This window comes from Homo sapiens, chromosome 1, assembly GCF_000001405.40.
Source record: "Homo sapiens chromosome 1, GRCh38.p14 Primary Assembly".
NCBI lineage: Eukaryota > Metazoa > Chordata > Mammalia > Primates > Hominidae > Homo > Homo sapiens.
In genome coordinates, this window is record NC_000001.11 from 239,491,247 (window position 1) to 239,512,396 (window position 21,150).

At 38.1% G+C, this 21,150-nt stretch overlaps 1 protein-coding gene across 27 annotated transcripts in view; it reads left to right on the forward strand.

The window, feature by feature from the left end:
- CHRM3 (cholinergic receptor muscarinic 3) overlaps positions 1-21,150 on the forward strand; it is a 528,883-nt gene that overhangs the window by 104,679 nt on the left and 403,054 nt on the right. For 15 of the 27 annotated variants that reach the window (NR_164748.1, XM_047443115.1, NM_001375982.1 and 12 more), the window contains one exon: positions 1,463-1,561. The exons of the other annotated variants lie outside the window; for them this stretch is intronic. The gene's annotated coding sequence lies outside the window, so the exon portion shown is untranslated. The remainder of the gene's footprint in view (positions 1-1,462; positions 1,562-21,150) is intronic. 27 annotated transcript variants of the gene reach the window in all.

The window sequence follows — 21,150 nt, forward strand, 5'->3', positions numbered from 1 at the left end:
TATTATAGTCATCCTATAGTGCTGTAGAACACTAGAACTTATTCTTCCTATCTAGCTGCACTTTTATATCTATTAACCAACCTCTGGCTATCTTCCCACCCACTACCCCTCCCAGCCTTCAGTAACCACTGTTCTATTCTATAGGTCTAAGAGATTAACTTTATTTGCTCCCACATATGAATGACAGCATGTGGTGTTTATGTCTCTGTGCTTGGCTTATTTTACTTAACATAATCTTCTCCAAGCTCCATGTTGCCATGAATGACAGAATTTTATTCCTTTTCATGGCTAGATAGTATTCCATTATATATACCACATTTTCTGTAGCCCTTCACGCACTGTTAGACAATTACGTGGATTCTATGTCTTGGCTATTGTGAATAGTGCCACAATAAGCATAGGAGGGCAGATGTCTCTCGGACATACTGACTTCATTTCCTCTGGATATGTGGCCCATAGTGGGATTGCTGGATCATATGGTAGTTCTATTTTTAGTTTTTTTGAGAAAACTCCATGCTGTTTTTTGCAGTGGCTGTAATAATTTACATTCCAATCAACAGTGCTGTTTCTATTGCTTTTTAAACTCAATCTTACTCTTTGCCTTCTAAACCCTTCTGGGTTGTTTTGAAAGCCACGTGCAGGGGAGCTCAGAGTAGTTGTTGTGAAGCAAGTACAACATCAAATATTAGTTAACACTCACACACTCCTGTGGGCCAGACACTAATCCCAGTGTATGATGTGTATTAATTTATTTAATTCACAAGTTGGCTGTATGACGTAAAATGTGTAATGATCCATTTTGGCCATGGGGAAACTAACTCTCAAGGATATCAAGATGTCAAATAACTTGTGGAAGCACACACACATAGCTAGTAAGTACAGAACAAGAACTTGAGCCCTGGCTAAGTATATGTTTCTAGCCATCCAGCAATATTGCTCTTTACTTCCAAAAAGTCAGCAGATACCTACCTACCTACCTACCTAGAGAGCTCTGTCTTTCCTCATTAACTTCTTGCTCTTCTCCTTTGAAAACTTTTCCCACATTCTCTGTTATGACCCCTTTCTTCCCATAGTAGGTAGATTTTGTAAGATATTAAACTCAACTTCTGGTACCTTTGAAGTATCTTTATTATACCTATGCTTCATTGCTCGCAGAGAGCCTTCATGGCAAAGGAAACATTTTAGCTTCCATGCAAAAGTGTGCTTTATCTAAATAGGACTTACCCACTCATCTAAACACTGGTCCTCCTTCCTCCTAGTGGATATGGCGGGAAACAGAGGAAAATGTTTTTTCCCTATTCCTGATTTCCTGGGAGACACTTTTATCCCAACATTCCTGGCCTTACTGTACTCTCTCACTCTTCCCACACACTCAGCTGAGGACGAACTCAGCTGATAAGAAATGTGAGCAGAATAACCTTGCATGCTCTGCTGAGGGACCGTCTTTTTTCTCTGTCTGCAGAAAGAAGGACTTTGCTGCTTTGGGCCAGGATCTGAACTTAGGTGTAAACCATTGCCCTGGCAGAGGGAACCTACCCAGTCCATTGCTGCCTGCTACAAGGTAAGTGAAATCGATCTCCGTCTACCCATTCTCCAGGCCAATTTTCATCAGTACTCAGAGTGATCAAGGCTTTCATAGGCTGATTCTTTTGTCTTACTCTTCATTTGTCCAAAATTCATCTGAGAAGACTAACACTTCAATATTATACTGCTTAAGAAATGTAATAATCCTGACAGCTTAGCATTGCAAGTTCCTCCATTTACAGGTGAAGTAACTGAGATTCAAAAACATCAATAAACTTGCACAGCTTAAGACTGTAGCTGAACTGAAGTTAGGCCACAGATTTAGTATTTTTCCAGTAAGGGAAAGATTTTTGCAAGGAAAAAACTAATATTAAAAGCAAAATGCTCTCAGGAATTGTTTCTTTTAATATGATGAAATACTAGAAATATACAATTGGTGAAGTTATTCATTGCTGATATATTAGTACCTTTCATGTAGATTCACACAGGTTGACCAATAACTGTTCTCAGGCAGGTCTCCAGGATCTATCTGGAGGATCCTAGGTTCCTATTAGAAGAACTGTGTGTTTTGTTGCTAAACTAGACACAATAGACCAGGCTTCACTTGGCAGATTGCCACTTTTTATCAAAACTCTATCAGATGAATTTTTCTAAAAAATTATACATCCTTTACTAAAAATATTTTTGCTAAATTAATTGTGGGAAGATGTTCTTATCGCATATTTATGAGATGAACATTTATTTATATTGTTTCTTGAAAACTTTTTAAAAATAATAGTATTAAAATATATTGCATAGGCTGCCAAGCACACAATAGGGATATCAAAAGCAGTAAGGCTGATAAAAGCAAGAGTTTTGTGTTTAATTAGTAGGCTCTGACTGAGCAGAAAATTAAAATCCCCTACTTGGAACTACCTATAAGGAAGAATGAGAATTCAGACCCTAGGCATTACTGATGCTCAGTTGAAGGCAGCTTGTCAAAGCACTGCTTTTTATTAATGCCCAATAGTTCTTAAATACAAACTATATACAAATGGTAAAACTATACTTCTGCCCAGTTGAACCTGATGCAGGAAAGGCAGGTCTCAAAATTGGGGCTTAGCCCAGGAGGGTTCTTGGCTTTACACAGGAAAGAATTCACCAGGAAAGAATTCAAGGGTGAGCCAGTAATATGAGACAGCAATCTTTTATTGAACATTACTACTCCTTGCAGAACAGGGCTAACTCACAGGCAATGTGCCCAGATTTGGTAATGTATGGGCTCTTGGCAACTGTATTTATACTTACTTATATTCATTTTTAATTACATGTAAATTCAAAGGCAGGTTAATTCAAATTGAGGGATGCATTATTTAGAACTTTCTAGGAAAGAAGTGGCAACTTCTGGGTCATGGCTGTGGAATGGGGTGATAACTTCCTGGTTGTTGCTATGGTATTTGTAAACTGCCATGATGCTAGTGGGAATGTTTTATGCTAAAGAGCAATGAGAGCAGCTAGGGATGGCTTTCATTGCCGTCTGCTGGTTCCTGCCAATTTGATTTCTTCACTTCATTGCCTAGGGACCAAATCCTGTTTTGGTCAGCAGGGTTGTGACCAAAAAACAAGTCCTACCAATCTCCTACCTCAAATCCGTACTATGTGCACTTCAGTAGACAACTTAATATTGAATATATGTGTGAAGATACGTACATAAAAAAACACCTAAACCTAAACAACTTAGCAAAAATGTGTATATAGTTCAGACTTTTTTTTTACACATGGCTTGCTTTTATTTTTTGTTTATTTTTTATGTTCCAGAATACATGTGCAAGATGTGCAGGTCTATTGCATAGTTGAATATATGCCCTGGTGGTTTGCTGCACCTATCAACCCATCATCTAGGTATTAAGCCCAGCATGCATTAGTTCTTTTCCCTAATGCTCTCCCCAACCCAGCCTTCCCTGATAGGCCCCAGTGTGTGATGTTCCCCTCCCTGTGTCCATGTATTCTCATTGTTCAGCTCCCACTTACAAGTGAGAACGTGTATGTTTGGTTTTCTGTTCCTGCATTAGTTTGCTGAGGATAATGGCTTCCAGCTTCATCCATGTCCCTGAAAAGGACATGACCTCATTCCTTTTTATGGCTGCATAGTATTCCATGGTGTATATACTTCATCTCTTTCTCCCTCTGGAGAATCATTCTTCCATAAGAAAAAAATGATATATTTGACCTGGTTCCTTTGGGTCTTCCTTTCCAGTCATCCTTGTATTGAAGAATTCTTTAACATTTTTCAGCACTCTGTTGTACATTTCTGACTGTACTAAGACAGTCCCTTCCTCATATCCCAGCTTTTATTCCAATGGATAATGAAATTCTTGAACTCTATGCTTACAACTTTTCAAAATTCACATATTGAGTACAGGGTTCAAGTGTTTGGTTGCTTCGAATATTGTAATTGTTTCCATCAGTTGTGAAACCCACAAAAAGGAGGGTCACACCAATATCCTTAGAATTGAGGTCATTGAAATCCATGTAGGCATTTGGGTCTTCCCCACATTAAAGCACCAACTGTTAGGCAAAAAGCCAATGTCAAAAGAGCAGGCTGGCATGTGGACCTCTTGCTTTATCTATCTTCCCTCTAATTAGCTTTCCTTTTAGCCTACAGTCCTTCTCTCCACTCCTTCAAGTGCAAATTCAGCTACCTCTTCTTTGAGCCACTCTCTCAGTTTAAGCCCTAAAATGCTTCTGTTTACTTCTTCAGACCTATACTGCAGTGGGATTTATGCTCTCTGAAGTTACAGTGGAATGGAGATTGGGTGTGGCTTAAGCACAGGTAGTTCACATTTGAGAGCCAGCCTTCCTCTCTTTGAACAGGGTCCTGCTCCTCACCAGCTGTGAGATCTCACCCTAGTTACTTAAAACAGTCAGCTTGGCTTTCCCCTTATAGAATGGGGATGGTAATAACAATTGCTATTGTGAGGAAGAAATCATCAAATCCCTATAAAGTTTCCAGCGTTTAGTAAGCACTCAATATATATTAGTTATTATTACTGTTATTGTTCATTCCTGCACACCCCATCTTGATTTTCTTTCTTCTATTCAAAGGCAAGCGTACTCTTTTCTAGAATTCATTTCATATTTCCTTCTCCCTACTTTTAGCAGCCTATAAAGTAACTAGAATTACAGGGGCAAAGGGGTAGAAAGCATACCTACTATCATTGGGAGGCCAGAGGGACCAGGAATTCTGTAGCAACTTCTCTGTTCCTGGTATCTAAAGCTTAAGTCTGTGCTATGTTGAAACCTGAGGACAGTCAGTCTCTTTCATTGGTTTATCTAAAATAATACTTTTACGACTCCTTATTGGCTGACGTCTCTCTATTTATTTCTTTTTTTCTTGAACATATAGATGCAGAAATGATTGAGGGGGCAAACCAGATGAACATGGCATAATGGTATCATCTGAGTATAGTCTGGCAGGAACTGGCCACTGGATGGATATTATGAACCCCATTTTACATGCAAAAAATCAAGATTTGGAGAGGCTAAACCAATCGCCTCTGTAAAATTCCACTCCTATACTTGCCAGTTTTATGAGTTTATTTAATCTCTGTAATCCCAAGTTTCCTCATTTGTTAAATATATATAATATCTATCTTGCAGATTATTTTAAAGACTGAAGAAGATAATTGTACAATAACTGATATAATATCTATCATCTACCTATTTATACAGGAAATATCTAGTGTATGCTAGTAATTCTAGTGTGTGTGTGTGTGTGTGTGTGTGTGTGTGTGTATAATTATATATATTATACGGTTGTATCTCCAATGACAACCTTTGTCTCATTCATCTCCAGATTATACCAGGAACTAATCTTAGGCAATTTCTTGTACTGATATCTTGTACTTCTCCAACATGGATGATATATTTTGAACATAACTTTATACAAATTTAATGTATATACCATATGTATACAGTCTGAAGGTTTTTAAAAAGAATTTTGTTGTTTTTAACTTTCTGCAGTTAGGGTCCTCTTTGGTTGCATGTATGATGTTCTCTGCTGAGGAGAGCTGCTACCAAATGCATTTCCCTACCTCAACAATTGCCTTTGGAAATCTCACTTTCCCAGCCAGTCCTCCTATGTGTATATGCATACACAGACGCTAAACTAGACCTCTTATGCTTATAGTAAGAAGTATTTTAGGTTGGATGCATGGTAAATTAACTAGACAGACCCAGAAAATACAGTTGCATTGATATTCCCAAGTAGGATCTATTGAAAATAGTAACCAGAACTATGTTTCTGGAAAGTAAATTTAGAGAGACATGTTATTTTAAGGAATGCCAAAGAGGGACAGCATTTTTGGAAGATCGTTGCTGGTGGATGGTAAGGATTAGCATGGCCTTTCTTTTTATCATTTGGGTTAGGCACCCCACATCCTGATTTTGAAATTACTCTTCATTTTATTCAGTGCTCTTCAGAGACTGTAAAAAGATTGATTAATATTCATTCAAGCTTAATTGGCTTTGGAAAGAAAAAGTAAGTCAATTAAGTACATTAGTAAGCAGTTTTTCATGAAGAGTAATAATGGCAGAGGGTGACGGGGCAGCACAGCACCAGAGATTGGGGGTCACTGAGCCCCATACCACACTGAGGATGTTGGTTTCATGTCTCTCTTTGTGCTTCTTTCATGTTCTCACTCTTTTGCTGGCTCATAAGCAATCTGTTTCCCCAGTACGTTACTTGGATGAAGTAGAAGTAGATCATACTATCTGTTCCAAGGTCTTCCTTTCCTTATCTGCAAGTTACTCTCTTGAAAGAATAACGAAAGGTTGAGAGATCTGTACTCACTTTTTATGCTTTCGTTTCTTTCCTGCCTCCTCTCTATTTCACAGAGGTGATAAAAGAGAGGTAAAATGAAGTATAAAGCCAGGGAAGACTAACAGTGGTGAAACCTGGTAAGGAATGAGGCCATTGCCAATAATTTGAGAAGATCAGAAGGAGAAACTGAGTATGGGTGATGTGAAAATTATTTAAAACAATTAAGACAGTACAGGCAGCAACAAATCGGAGTGGACATGGCTAGGGGGCAGGGATCTGCCATGTCACTCATTAGATCTCCAGGGGGAAAGTTATACAGTGTCTCAGCATATGAACCAGGGCACCTGGGCAGCAAGAGAACAATTATGAAACCTGAGCAAATCAACAGCTATTTATTAACCAATATAAACCCTTAAAATAATAATAACAGTAACTTACTAACAATAATTTACCAGTTGCTATGGCTAGACCCATGTATGACAACTGAATATCAGCCCTAGAGCTGCAAATGGAGCCACACTGAGGTCCTAGTAGCGGGAACTGACAGTCAAAGACAGATATTGAGCATTACCAATTTTAGGAATTATATATTTGCTTTATTCAACTTTTTGTTTATCATATATAAGTACATATCAAGGCATTTTCCTGGTGGAACTAAGACAAAATCTTGCAAGTTGTTACTGTGAATAATAATTCAATTTGTAAAGATGTCTATGATTGAGAGGTTTTAAAATACCTACCATATTGAATATGAGTGTTACTCACATGCACTCTTGGGTTTTATGATCACTGTATTTATTTTTAAAGTAACCTAGTAATTGCAAAAATAACTTGCAAAAAATGGTTTATTTCATAAAAAGTAAATTTGATTTCAATAAAATTAAATTTCTGGATAATGAATCCTACATCTTTTCGTGTGTGTGTAATCTAAGCGTTCTCAAGGGCAGTTGGATCTACAGAAGACCACAACTTTGCTTTATTAATAAGCAAAATAGGGAAACATAAACCATTAAGTATAGACTTTCTGAGAGCTTAGCAGAAAACTCTCTCTCTTACTGATTAATAAATTGTTCATCAGTGCTGTAATGGACATTACCTTACTATCATGAACTGGAATGTAGGTGTCTGGCAAAGCCTGATATACTTTTGTGTGTAAATTAATTTTTAAGACTTTTGTTTAAAATGTATCATTTCTCCCTTATTCTTTTACGGAACAGTTAGCTAATAAAACTTTAATAAATGAGTACTAGATTCTGGGCATTTGCAAGTTACTATGCGGTTATACATCTGACCTACTTTGTTTGATCTTCACCTCCTTTATAGTATGCTATAACTGTTTTATTTAGCATGCTTCCTTTTTATTTAGCGTGCTTCCTTATATGTAGGTCCTCCTTTCCTAGTAAATTAAAGACTCTTGCAGTCAGGAACCTTAATTTTTATAATCTTGTTAGTGTTGAGCAATGTGGAAGATGCTTGAGAACTGTTTGAATTGAATTTCATTCAAGGCTGGTATCTTTCAGTTTTGAAAGGTAGAAGTGCGTATTGGTAAGTTACTAGAAATAAAGGGTGAATTTCTTCAACTTGATAGGTTACTTCTGACGATTTCATGATTTAGAAGGGATTTGGCTTCTGGATTTAGGAGATCATTCGGTGCTATTTCATGCCTTTAAGGAGGTACAGAGAAAGGAATGTTATTCAGCCTGGGAGAATATTTCCAACAGGAGGGTCAGAACTGGGCTTTCACAGGGGATAGTATTTGAAAATAGGTGTAAAAAGATATTTCAGGCAGAGGGAGGAGCTGTTTATGACCTTATTAATTCAGTAAGCACATATTGAACACTTACTGTATGTTAGGCAAAGAAAAGACTGTTGAGATAAGCAAGATTACAAGAAGTAGTTTTAAATAGCTTGGAGGTTGGAGTTAAACTTGGAAAGGTTGACTGGCACTTGATTGTTCAAGACTCAGTAAAAGATTATATTTTCTAAAGAGAGATTCAACAATGTTTCTCATCCCATGTGCTCTTCTTGAACTCGGTGCCACCAACACGACCATCAGGAGGTAGAAATCCGCAAAAGGATCTTCACTTAGGCACATTGTCATCAGGTTATCCAAAGTTAAGACGAAGGAAAGTATGTTAAGAGCTGTGAAACAGAAGCACCAGGTAACCTATAAAGGAAAATAAAGGAAAACCTATCAGATTAACAGCAGATTTATCAGCAGAAACCCTACAAGCTAGAAGGGATTGGGGCCCTATCTTCAGCCTCCTCAAACAAAACAATTATCAGCCAAGAATTTTCTATCCAGCAAAACTAATCATCATATAGGAAGGAAAGATACAGTCTTTTTCAGACAAACCAGTGCTGAGAGAATTTGTGACTGTCAAGCCACCACTACAAGAACTGCTAAAAGGAGCTCTAAATCTTGAAACAAATCCTGGAAACATATCAAAATGGAACCTCTTTAAAGCATAAATGGCTGTGGGTTTGTCATAGATAGCTTTTATTATTTTGAGATACATCCCATCAATACCTAATTTATTGAGAGTTTTTAGCATGAAGGGTTGTTGAATTTTGTCAAAGGCCTTTTCTGCAACACATATGTTTATTGCAGCACTATTCACAATAGCGAAGACTTGGAACCAACACAAATGTCCAAGAATGATAGATTGGATTAAGAAAATGTGGCACATATACACCATGGAATACTATGCAGACATAAAAAGGATGAGTTCATGTCCTTTGCAGGGACGTGGATGAAGTTGGAAACCATCATTCTCAGCAAACTACCGCAAGGACAAAAAACCAAACACCGCATGTTCTCACTCATAGGTGGGAATTGAACAATGAGAAGACTTGGACACAGGAAAGGGAACATCACATACCAGGGCCTGTTATGGGGTGGGGGGATGGGGGAGGGATAGCATTTGGAGATATACCTAATGTTAAATGATGAGTTAATGGGTGCAACACACCAACATGGCACATGTATACATATGTAACAAACCTGCATGTTGTGCACATGTACCCTAAAACTTAAAGTATAATTAAAAAAAAATAAAGTAATTAAATCCCGAAAAAAAAGCATAAATGACACAGAACTTATAAAACAAAAATACATGTTAAAAAGAAAAAAAAACACAAACAACAACAACAACAACAAAGTACACAGACAACAAAAAGCATGACGAATGCAACAGTACATCACATTTCAGTACTAACCTTGAATGTAAGTGGCCTAAATGCTTCACTTAAAAGATACAGAAACACAGAATGGACAAGAACTCACCAACCATCTGCTGCCTTTAGGAGATTCACCTAACACATAAGGACTAACAGAAACTTAAAGTAAAAGGGTGCAAAAGGCATTTCATGCAAATGGACACGAAAAGCGGGCAGGGGTAGCTATTCTTATTTCAGACAAAACAAATGTTAAAGTAACAGCAGTTAAAAGAGACAAAGAGGTACATTATATAATGGTAAAAGACCTTGTGCAACAGGCAAATATCACCATCCTAAACATATGTGCACCTAACACTGGAGCTCTCAAATTTATAAAACAATTACTAATAGACTTAAGAAATGAAATACACAGCAACACAGTAATAGTGGGGGACTTCAATACTCCACTGACAGCCCTAGACAGGTCATTAAGACAGAAAGTCAACAAAGAAACAATGGATTTAAACTATAGCTTGAACAAATGGACTTAACAGATACATACAGAACATTTTATCCAACGACTGCAGAATACACATTCTGTTCAACAGCACATGGAACTTTCCTAAAGATAGACCATATGATAGGCTATAAAACTAGCCTCAATAAATCTAAGAAAATTGAAATTATATCAAGCATTCTCTCAGACCACAGTGGAATAAAACTGGAAATCAACTCCAAAAGGAACTTTCAAAACAATGCAAATATATGGAAATTAACCTGCTTCTGAATGAGCATTGGGTCAAAACCAAAATCAAGATGGAAATTAAAAAATTCTTTCAAGTGGGCTGGGCGTGGTGGCTCATGCCTGTAATCTCAGCACTTTGGGAGGCTGAGGTGGGCAGATCACGAGGTCAGGAGACCAAGACCATTCTGGCTAACACAGTGAAACCCTGTCTCTACTAAAAAATACAAAAAAAATTAGCTGGGTGTGGTGGTGGGTGCCTGTAGTCCCAGCTAGTCAGGAGGCTGAGGCAGAATGGTGTGAACCCAGGAGGTGGAGCTTGCAGTGAGCTGAGATCGCGCTGCTGCACTCCAGCCTGGGCGACAGAGCAAGACTCTGTCTCAAAAAAAAAATTCTTTGAACTGAACGACAGTAATGACACAACCTATCAAAACCTCTGGGATACAGCAAAGGCGGTGCTAAGAGGAAAGTTCACAGCCCTCAATGCTTACTTCAGAAAGACTGACAGAGCATGAACTGACATTCTAAGGACACATCTCAGGTAACTATAGAAACAAGAACAAACCAAACCCAAACCCAGCAGAAGAAAGGAAACAACCAAGATCAGAGCAGAACTAAATGAAATTGAAACAAGCAAACAAGAAAAATACAAAAGATACGTGAAACAAAATGCTGATTCTTTGAAAAGATAAATAAAATTGATAGACAATTATCAAGATTAACCAAGAAAACAAGAGGGAAAATCAAAATAACTTTGTTAAGAAATGAAACAGGAAATATTACAACCGACACCACAGAAATACAAAGCATCAATCAAGGCTACTATGAACACCTTTACGCACATAAACCAGAAAACCTAGAGGAGATGGATAAATTCCTGGAAAAATACAGCCCTCCTAGCTTAATTCAGGAAGAATTAGATACTCTGAACAGACCAATAACAAGCAGTGAGATTGAAATGGTAATTTAAAAATTAGCAACAAAAAAAAAGTCCAGGACCAGATGGATTCACTGCAGAATTCTCCCACACATTCAAAGAAGAATTGGTACCAATCCTTTTGATACTATTCCACAAGGCAGAGAAAGAAGGAACCCTCGCTAATTCATTCTGTGAAGCCAGTATCACCCTAATACCAAAACCAAGAAAGGACATAACCAAAAAAGAAAACTACAGACCGATAACCTTGATGAATGTAGATGCTAAAATCCTTAACAAAATACTAGCTAACCAAATCCAATAGCATATCTAAAAGATAATCCACCATGATCAAGTGGGTTTAACATACACAAGTCAATAACTGTGATACACCACATAAACAGAATTAAAAACAAAAATCACATGATCATCTCAATAGTTGCAGAAAAAGCATTTGACAAAATCCAGCTTCCCTTTATGATTAAAACTCTCAGCAAAATCAGCATACAAGGGATATACCTCAATGTAATAAAAGCCATCTATGACAAACCCACAGCCAACATAATACTGAATGGGAAAAAGTTGAAAGCATTCCCTCTGAAAACTGGAACAAGACAGGGATGCCCACTCTCACCACTCCTCTTCAACATAGTACTGAAAGTCCTAGCCAGAGCAATCAGACACAAGAAAGAAATAAAGGGCATCCAAAATGGTAAAGAGGAAGTCAAACTGTCACTGTTTGTTGAAGATATGATCATTTACCTTGAAAACCCTAAAGACTCCTCCAGAAAGATCCTAGAACGGATAAAAGAACTTGGCAAAGTTTCTGAATACAAGATTAATGTACACAAATCAGTAGCTCTTCTATACATCAACAGCGACCAAGCAGAAAGTCAAATCAAGAACTCAACCCCTTTTACAAAAGCTGCAAAAAATAAAATAAAATACTTAGGAATATACCTAACCAAGGAGGTGAAAGACCTCTACAAGGAAAACTACAAAACACTGCTGAAAGAAATCATAGATGACACAAATGGAAACACATTCCATGCTTATGGATGGCTGGAATCAATATTGTGAAAGCAACCATACTGCCAAAAGCAGTCTACAAGTTCAATGCAATCCCCATCAAAATACCACCATCATTCTTCACAGAATTAGAAAAAAAAATTCTAAAAATAATATGAAACAAAACAAAACAAAAGGCCTGCATAGCCAAAGCAATACTAAGCAAAAAGAACAAATCTGGAGACATCACACTACCTGATTTCCAACTATACTATAAGGCCATAGTCAACAAAACAGCATCGTACTGGTATAAAAATAGGCACATAGACCAAAGGAACAGAATAGAGAACCCAGAAATGAACCCAAACACTTACAGCCAACTGATCTTTGACAAAGCAAACAAAAACTTAAATTGGGGGAAAGGACACCCTTTTCAACAAATGCTGCTGGGATAATTGGCTAGCCACATGTAGGAGAATGAAACTGGATCCTCATCTCTGGCCTTATAAAAAATCAACTCAAAATGGATTAAGTACTTAAATCTAATACCTGAAACTATAAAAGTTCTAGAAGATAACATTAGAAAAATCCTTCTAGACATTGGCTTAGGCAAGGATTTTATGGCCAAGAACCCAAAAGCAAATTCAATAAAAACAAAAAATATTTGGGACTTAAACTAAAGAGCTTTTGCACAGCAAAAGCTTTGTCAGCAGAGTAAACAGACAATCCACAGTGTGGGAGAAAATCTTTGTAATCTATACATCTGACAAAGGACTAATATCCAGAATCTACAACAAACTCAAACAAATCAGTAAGAGAAAAACAAAAAAACAAACAATCCCATAAAAAAGGGGGCTGAGGACATGCATAGGCAATTCTCAAAACAAGATATACAGATGACCAACAAACATGAAAAAATACTCAACATCACTAAGATCAAGGAACTGAAAATCAAAACCACAATATGATACCACCTTACTCCTGCAAGAATGGCCATAATCAAAAAATCAAAAAACAGTAGATGTTGGCATGGATGTGGTGAACAGGGAACACTTCTACACTGCTGGTGGGAATGTAAACTAGTACAACCACTATGGAAAATAGTGTGGAGATTCCTTAAAGAACTACAAGTAGAACTCTCATTTGATCCAGCAATCCCACTAGTGGGTAACTATCCAGAGAAAAAGAAGTCATAATATGAAAGAGATACTTGCACACATGTTTATAGCAGCACAATTTGCAACTGCAAAATTGTGGGACCAACCCAAATGCCCATCAATCAATGAGTGTATAAAGAAATTATGGTATATTTATATGTTGCAATACTACTCAGCCATAAAAAGGAATGAATTAATAGCATTTGTGGTGACCTGGATGAGATTGGAGACTATTATTCTAAGTGAAGTAACTCAGGAATGGAAAACCAAACATCATATATTCTCACTCATATGTAGGAGCTAAGCTATGAGGATGCAAAGGCATAAGAATGATACAATGGACTTTGGGGACTTGGGGGGAAGGGTGGGAAGGGGGCAAGGGATAAAAGACTACAAATATGGTGCAGTGTATACTGTTTGGGTGATGGGTACACCAAAATCTCAGAAATCACCACTAAAGAACTTACTCATGTAACCAAATACCACCTGTACCTCAATAACTTATGGAAAAAATAACAGTTTAATAAGAACTAAAAACTCTTTATCAGCTCTGTATTTTGAGAAAATTACTGATTTCTTTGCCTTTGTTTCTTCAGCTTTAAAATTAGGGCTCATATAAGTTCTTGCCTCTTAGAGCTGTGAGAACTGAGTGGAATTAAGGTGTAGAGGAATGCTTGAGGCATATTGTTCAGTAACTGTTTCCTGGGATGATGATGATGATGATGATGATGATGATGATGATGATGATGATGATTGATATGGTTTGGCTTTGTCCCCACCCAAATCTCATCTTGAATTCCCACATGTTGTGAGGGGGACCTGGCAGGAGGTAATTGAATCACTGGGGCAGGTCTTTCCCATGCTGTTCTTGTGATAGTGAGTAAGTCTCATCAGATCTGATGGTTACATAAAAACAGAAGTTTCCCTGCACAAGCTCTCTTCTCTTGTCTGCTGCCATGTGAGACATGCCTTTCACCTTCTGCCATGATTGTGATTCTTTCCCCACCAACTTGGAACTGTAAGTCCAATAAACCTTTTTCTTTTGTAAATGGCCCAGTCTCGGATGTGTCTTTATCAACTGCATCAAAATGGACCAATACAGTAAATTGGTACCAGTAGAGTGGGGCACTGTTGTAGATACTCAAAAATATGGAAGTTACTTTGGAACTGGGTAACAGGCAGATGTTGTAAGAGTTTGGAGGGCTCAGAAGAAGACAGGAAATTGTGGGAAAGTTTGGAACTTCCTAGAGACTTGTTGAATGGCTTTGCCCAAAATGCTGATAGCAGTATAAGACAGTAAGTTCCAGGCTGAGTTGGTCTCAGATGGAGATGAGGAACTTCTTAGCAACTAGAGCAAAGGTGACTCTTGTTATGTTTTGGCAAAGAGATTGGTGGCATTTTTCCCCATCCTAGAGATTTGTGGAACTTTGAACCTGAGAGGTATGTAAGGTATCTGGTGGAAGACATTTCTAAGCAGCAAAGAATTCAAGAGGTGACTTGGGTGCTGTTAAAGGCATTCAGTTTTATAAAAGAAACAGAGCATAAAAGTTTGGAAAATCTGCAGCCTGGCAATGAGATAGAAAAAAAATCTCATTTTCTGAGGAGAAATTCAAGCCAGCTCCAGAAATTTGCATAAGTAATGAGGAGTTGAATGTTAATCCTCAAGACAATGGGGAAAATGTCTCCAGGGCTTGTCAGAGGTCTTTACAGCAGGCCCTCCCATCACAAGCCCAGAGACATAGGAGGAAAAGATGGTTTCATGGGCCGGGCCTGCTCTGTGCAGCCTAGGGACTTGGTATCCTGTGTTCTAGCCACTCCAGCCATGGCTAAAAGAGCCAAGATACAGCTCAGGCTGTTATTTTAGAGGGTAGAAGCCCTAAGTCTTGACAGCTTCCACGTGGTGTTGAGCCTGTGTGTGCATGGAAGTCAATAATGGAGGTTTGGGAACTTCTGCCTAGGGTTCAGAGAATGTATGGAAATGCCTGGATGCCCAGGCAGAAGTTTACTGCAGGGGTGGTGCCCTCATGGACAACTTCTGCTAGGGCAGTGCAGAAGTGAAATATGGGGTCAGAGCCCCCACACAGAGTCCCTACTGGGGCACTGCCTAGTGGAGCTGTGAGAAGGGGGCCATCGTCCTCCAGAACCCAGAGTGGTAGAACTACAGACAACTTGCCCCAAGCACCTACAAAAGCCACAGACACTCAATGCCAGCCCATGAAAGCAGCCAGGAGGGGGCTGTACCTTGCAAAGCCACAGGGACAGAGCTGCCCAAGACCATGGGAACCCACCTCTTGCATCAGCATGACCCAGATGTGAGACATGGTGTCAAAGGAGGTCATTTTGGAGTTTTAAGATTAGACTGCCCTGTTTGATTTTGGACTTGCTTGGGGCCTGTACCCCCTTTGTTTTGGCCAATTTCTCCCATTTGGAATGGTTGTATTTACCCAATGCCTGTGTCCCCATTGTTTCTAGGAAGTAACTAACTTCCTTTTGATTTTACAGTCTCATAAGCAGAAGGGACTTGCGTTGTTTTTGATGGGACATTGGACTGTGGACTTTTGAGTTAATGATGAAATGAGTTAAGACTTTGGGGGACTGTTCAGAAGGCATGATTGGTTTCGAAATGTGATTTGTGAAGGGCCAGGTGTGGAATGATATGGTTTGGCTATGCCCCTACCCAAATCTCATCTTGAATTCCCATGTGTTGTGGGAGGGAGGGACACAGTGGGAGGTAATTGAATCACTGGGGGCAGGTCTTTCCCATGCTGTTCTCGTGATAGTGAACAAGTCTCATGAGATCTGATGGTTATATAAAAACAGGAGTTTCCCTGAACAAGCTCTCTTCTCTTGTCTGCCACCATGTGAGACATGCCTCCACCTTCTACCATGATTGTGAGTCCTCCATCCCCACCCACGTGGAACTGTAAGTCCAATAAACTTCTTTCTTTTGTAAATTGCCTCATCTCAGTTATGTCCTTAGCAGCAGCATGAAAATGGACTAATACAATGATGATGATTATATTCTTGATAATAACAGTGAAGATGATGAAAACATAAAGATATCACCTTCATATGGGTTATGTACCTACTGTGTTATATTTTCATTGATATGTTTATGGCCCTGTTTATGTGAATAGACTAAAACTCATGGAATTTAGGAAACTGGTCTCATTTATTTTTGTATATCAAGCAGAGCTGTGCTTGCTGGACTGTTAAAAGAATAGGCTGTTGAGTTAAAAAGTTAAAATCTGCTTTGGACTTGGGGGGCTTAGGATGCCAGAGGGTATCCCTATAATTTATAAAGAAATTTCTGAAAATGTGAGCTTTGTGCTTATGAGAAAATCAGAGATTTAAATAATTGAAGTCACAATTGGAGAAAATCTCTGTGGTATAGGACTGATTAGAATACAAGGCAGAATTCAGTAATTATTTCAAGCACAGAGCTATGGAGCCTGAGGCAGAAAATATTAATTCTGACTGGGAAGACGGAGGAAGAGTTCACAGGGAAGGTGACACCAGACAAGCTTCTCCTTTAAATTTTGGAGTCTTTGGAAATGACTAGTAATTATATTCAAATTAATTTCCCAAAGAAAACAATTAAATTGGCTCTCCAAAGTTATTCTTCAGAGAAAAAAGAGGTGAGGCTATGCATTTTCCATTTAAGAATAGTTACTAACTGAATATAGGAGAACAATTATGAAGCTAGGTGGTTCTGTACAGTGAAATATGGGACCTTGAGCTCTGTATTTCAGTATTTTCCAGAATTTGGGTAAATTATCATGAATGTCAGAAGTTCTCATTAAAATGTAAATAATATGTTTAAGTGCCAAATTTGACCATAAAGGAATTCTTTGTGTTTTTCATTGAACTACATCACTAGATCTATTCTGGTCATGCTTTAATTATTTTTGGTTTTGTTATTTGCAATTTAATACTTGTAATATTCTTTTCTATGGTTTAAATTAAACAGTGACTATATGTCTTTGGTCTTTAATCTCTTCCTCAACTCATGCAAGTCTAGCTTCTACACTTATTATTCTACTTCAAGCATAATCACCAATAAACTCCTATTTATAATTCCAGTGAGTACGTTCTTACGAAATCAGCCCTAGAGCTTATTAGCGAAGTGCTTTTGACATGGTGGGTGTTCAACATATAATTATTGATTACGTGAGTCATGAATCAAATATCAAATTAGCTCTGTTCTAATCCTAGATCTATCTCTGACTAGTTATGTTGTTAAATGGGATATGTTACTCAGTCTTTCAATTTCAGTTTTTCGTCTCTTTACGTATTCTTTAAGCTTATGATTCAGCTGTGTATTGTGAGATGATAACTTGGAAAAAAATAAAATAACTTTGCACAAATTGTAAGCAGTAGGGAAGACTAGAAGAAGCAGGAATTTATTTAGAAACAACTGTTCCAAATAAATATACTGGATACACAGCAAAAAGACTAGGTCTGTGCCTCATCCTATGTAAAATGCCTCCATCCTAACAGACATTTATTGACTATCTTAGCCAGGTATTACAGTGATAAGGAATTTGTCACTTTACCTCAAACCACAAGGTCTTCAGAATCAAGAGCTAGTATTTTACTTTCTTGATTTAGCTAAACCATCCAGTGAAAATGTGCAGGGGAAGAGTGAATATATTTAGTTAATTTTATTTATTGAGAAGTATTTATTCTTGTTACCCTCCCTTCTGGGATATGTTACAGCAAGAACAGGTGTTTTTTTTAAACTAGTGAGTAATTACTGATCTTCTTATAGTCTTACAATTATTTAAATAAATGCTATCAATGAGAATAACCAATAATATGCTATTTCTGTTTATATAAAGAGGAAATTAACCCAGAATTTCTATCCAATGGCATCCATGCATGTGACTCCAGGATAATCTGTATATAAAATACTTGCAAATGTTTCCCTCAAGGTAGAGCTGGAGTTGATTTCTGTGTGATAACCCCAGCCAAGAAGCTCACAAACTTCTGGAATCATGTGAAACCGTGTATTAACATAGAAATGTTGATACTATAGCTATGTAGCAGATAGGAACAGTTTTTAAGAAGGCAAGGTCTTCCAAACATTATTTATGATATTATAATGCCTATAGAATAATAGTAAATGTTTTTCAATGTTTGGGACTATATTCAGTACATAAAATAATAGGTGTCTTTTTAAGCATTAATTTTGCTTAGATATCGTGTATGCTGGGTTTTATTTTCTTAGTCAACAATTAACAAGTTTTAAGGGCCAGGTGTGTTGGCTCACGCCTGTAATCCCAGCACTTTGGGAGGCCGAAGTGGGCAGATCACCTGAGGTCAGGAGTTCGAGACCAGCCTGGCCAACATGGCGAAACCCCGTCTCTATTAAAAAATACCAAAATTAACCAGGCGTGGTGACATGTGCCTGTAATGCCAGCTACTTGGGAGGCTGAGGCAGGAGAATCGCTTGAACCTGGGGGACGGAGGTTACAGTGGGCCGAGATCATGCCACTGCACTCCAGCCTGGGCAGCATAAGACTCCGTCACAAACAAACAAACAAACAAAGTTTTGAGAAGTAAAAGCTATTTACCTTACCTTTGTGTAATAATTCCTGAGATATAAAAGAAGCTGTAGTTGACATTTAAGATTGATTCTCCAGTATCTATCCTACTTCCAAATTGTTAGTTTAAGCCAAACATCATACCCCATTTTCTCTACCAAATGTTGGTTTAGAAAAGAGTATGTGTGGTAGTCCAGGCCTATGAGACATAAGCCAGAATCAACTGGTATCTTCTACAGTGTTTTCTTGTTCAGTAGAAGGAGAATTAGGAAGACACTGTCTCCTCTTTTTCCTCTTGGGGTGGGGACATGAAAATGCTGTAGCCGTCTTGTGACCATCACAGAGAGGCTAATGGCACAACTAGCAGATGGGGAGAACCTCTATCTTTAGTGGCATCATTGGATTGGAATGTACCTGGAGCAGATACTAACCCCTCAGATTTTTTTTTTTTTTTGAGGCAGAGTTTCGCTCTTGTTGCCCAGGTTGGAGTGCAGTGGTGCCATCTTGGGTTACCACAACCTCAGCCTCCCCAGTTCAAGTGATTCTCCTGCCTCAGCCTCCCAACTAACTGGGATTACAGATGTGAGCCACCATGCCCAGCTAATTTTGTATTTTTAGTGGAGATGTGGTTTCTTCATGTTGGTCAGGCTAGTCTTGAACTCCCGACCTCAGCTGATCCGCCTGCCTCAGCCTCCCAAAGTGCTGGGATTACAGGCATCAACCACCGCGGCCGGCCCAGATTCTTATAATGTGAAATAATTTCAGCTAGTCTGAATATGGTTTTGTCCTACCTGCAATTGAAAACCTCCTAATAAATGCAGAATAGATCATGAAACATTAAGGGCAAGATAGAATAGTCTAAAAGAACAAAATGAGACTACAGCAACGACAGAAATAGAATATTGAAGAGAGAAACACCTCTATAAGGGAAGTAGAAGGAGCTATCCAAGGGTTAAAGAAAAGTACCACAGGCAAAGAATTGAAAAGCCTTCACTGCTGAGCAGCCTCATGTGTTCTTTTGTTCTGATTCATGTACGTTAAGTCAAGGAATTGGGGAGAAGTATTAATCGAATTGATTGCATGTCGTCTTATTTTATTAACAACTGTGAAGACCAGCTAGAGCCATGGAAATTACTTTCTAATACTACCAATAATTTGAAAATTAACATGTAGAGTAAATAAGTCATCTGTAGCTATGCAGTACTGGTTATTGTTTCCAGTTTTCTTGTAGTTGTCATCTTGTAGTCCTATTTAAAACTAAAGCATTATAAAGCTGAGATTTATAATTCGCTGTTGCAGCTTTGTTACTATGTAACTGAAAGTAAATGTTCCTTTTCCCTCTGGTGAGATTAAGTTTTTAAAGGATTGAAAAACAAAAGTATCAAATGTGATTTCTGTGGTTATTTTTCTCCTTAAAAAGTAATTTTTGAAAAGATTAGATATGTCTCTTCCATTTTTGTCTTTAGTTTGTGAAATGATTTCAACTATGAGGAATTTAAAAAATAAATTAGGCTCACTTGTTTGGGAGTGGGACAAAATTATATAAAGAGAAAGGTTTGGGGACGTTTTGCCAGAAATATAACAAATTAAACATTTATTTTAATTAAGTTTAATCGTACAAAGTACAGATTAATACTTATTTTCAGATTTACTTCTTGATAGAAAGGAAACATGTTTCACGGGAAATTGAGATGAAAAGTGCAGAAGATAAAATCCTACCATTGTCAAATGAATAGATCCGGAAAGCAAATAAGCTTTTTGTAAGGTGATAGAAATTATAATGAATGAGCACTTTGAATTTTATTCCAAGTACATTTAAAATTCACTTGTTTAAAAAGAGGAATCTGGTAGGAACATTAATTGATTATGATGAGTGTGGATTGGAGAGATGAGGCTGAATGGGGAGGATGAGGGTTGTTGTTCTAGATGAGGGTTTAGACTAAGCTGTTGGCATGGCAACCAGATGGAAGGCAACAGCCTAGAGTTGAAGGATTGCCTGGGTGGACGGGCACTAGGATGGGTTAAGAGAGAAACAGGAACCCAGGAAACAGGCAGTCCAACAGGGGCATGTTTTTGGTGAAAACCACAGTTCACTCTTGGATAGCCAGACTGTAATGTAAAAATTGGACTGTCAAGTCCTGGTTTTCAAGCTGCAGGTCGAGTTCAGGGCTAGCAGTCAGAGGAGAGTGGTCAGAGAAATGGGGGAACCATCTGAGCTCTGAGGATAGCTCAAGCATTTAAATTCAGTTAAACAAATTTTACCCAGTGAATGCCTAGTTTATTTAAGGGATCTCCTA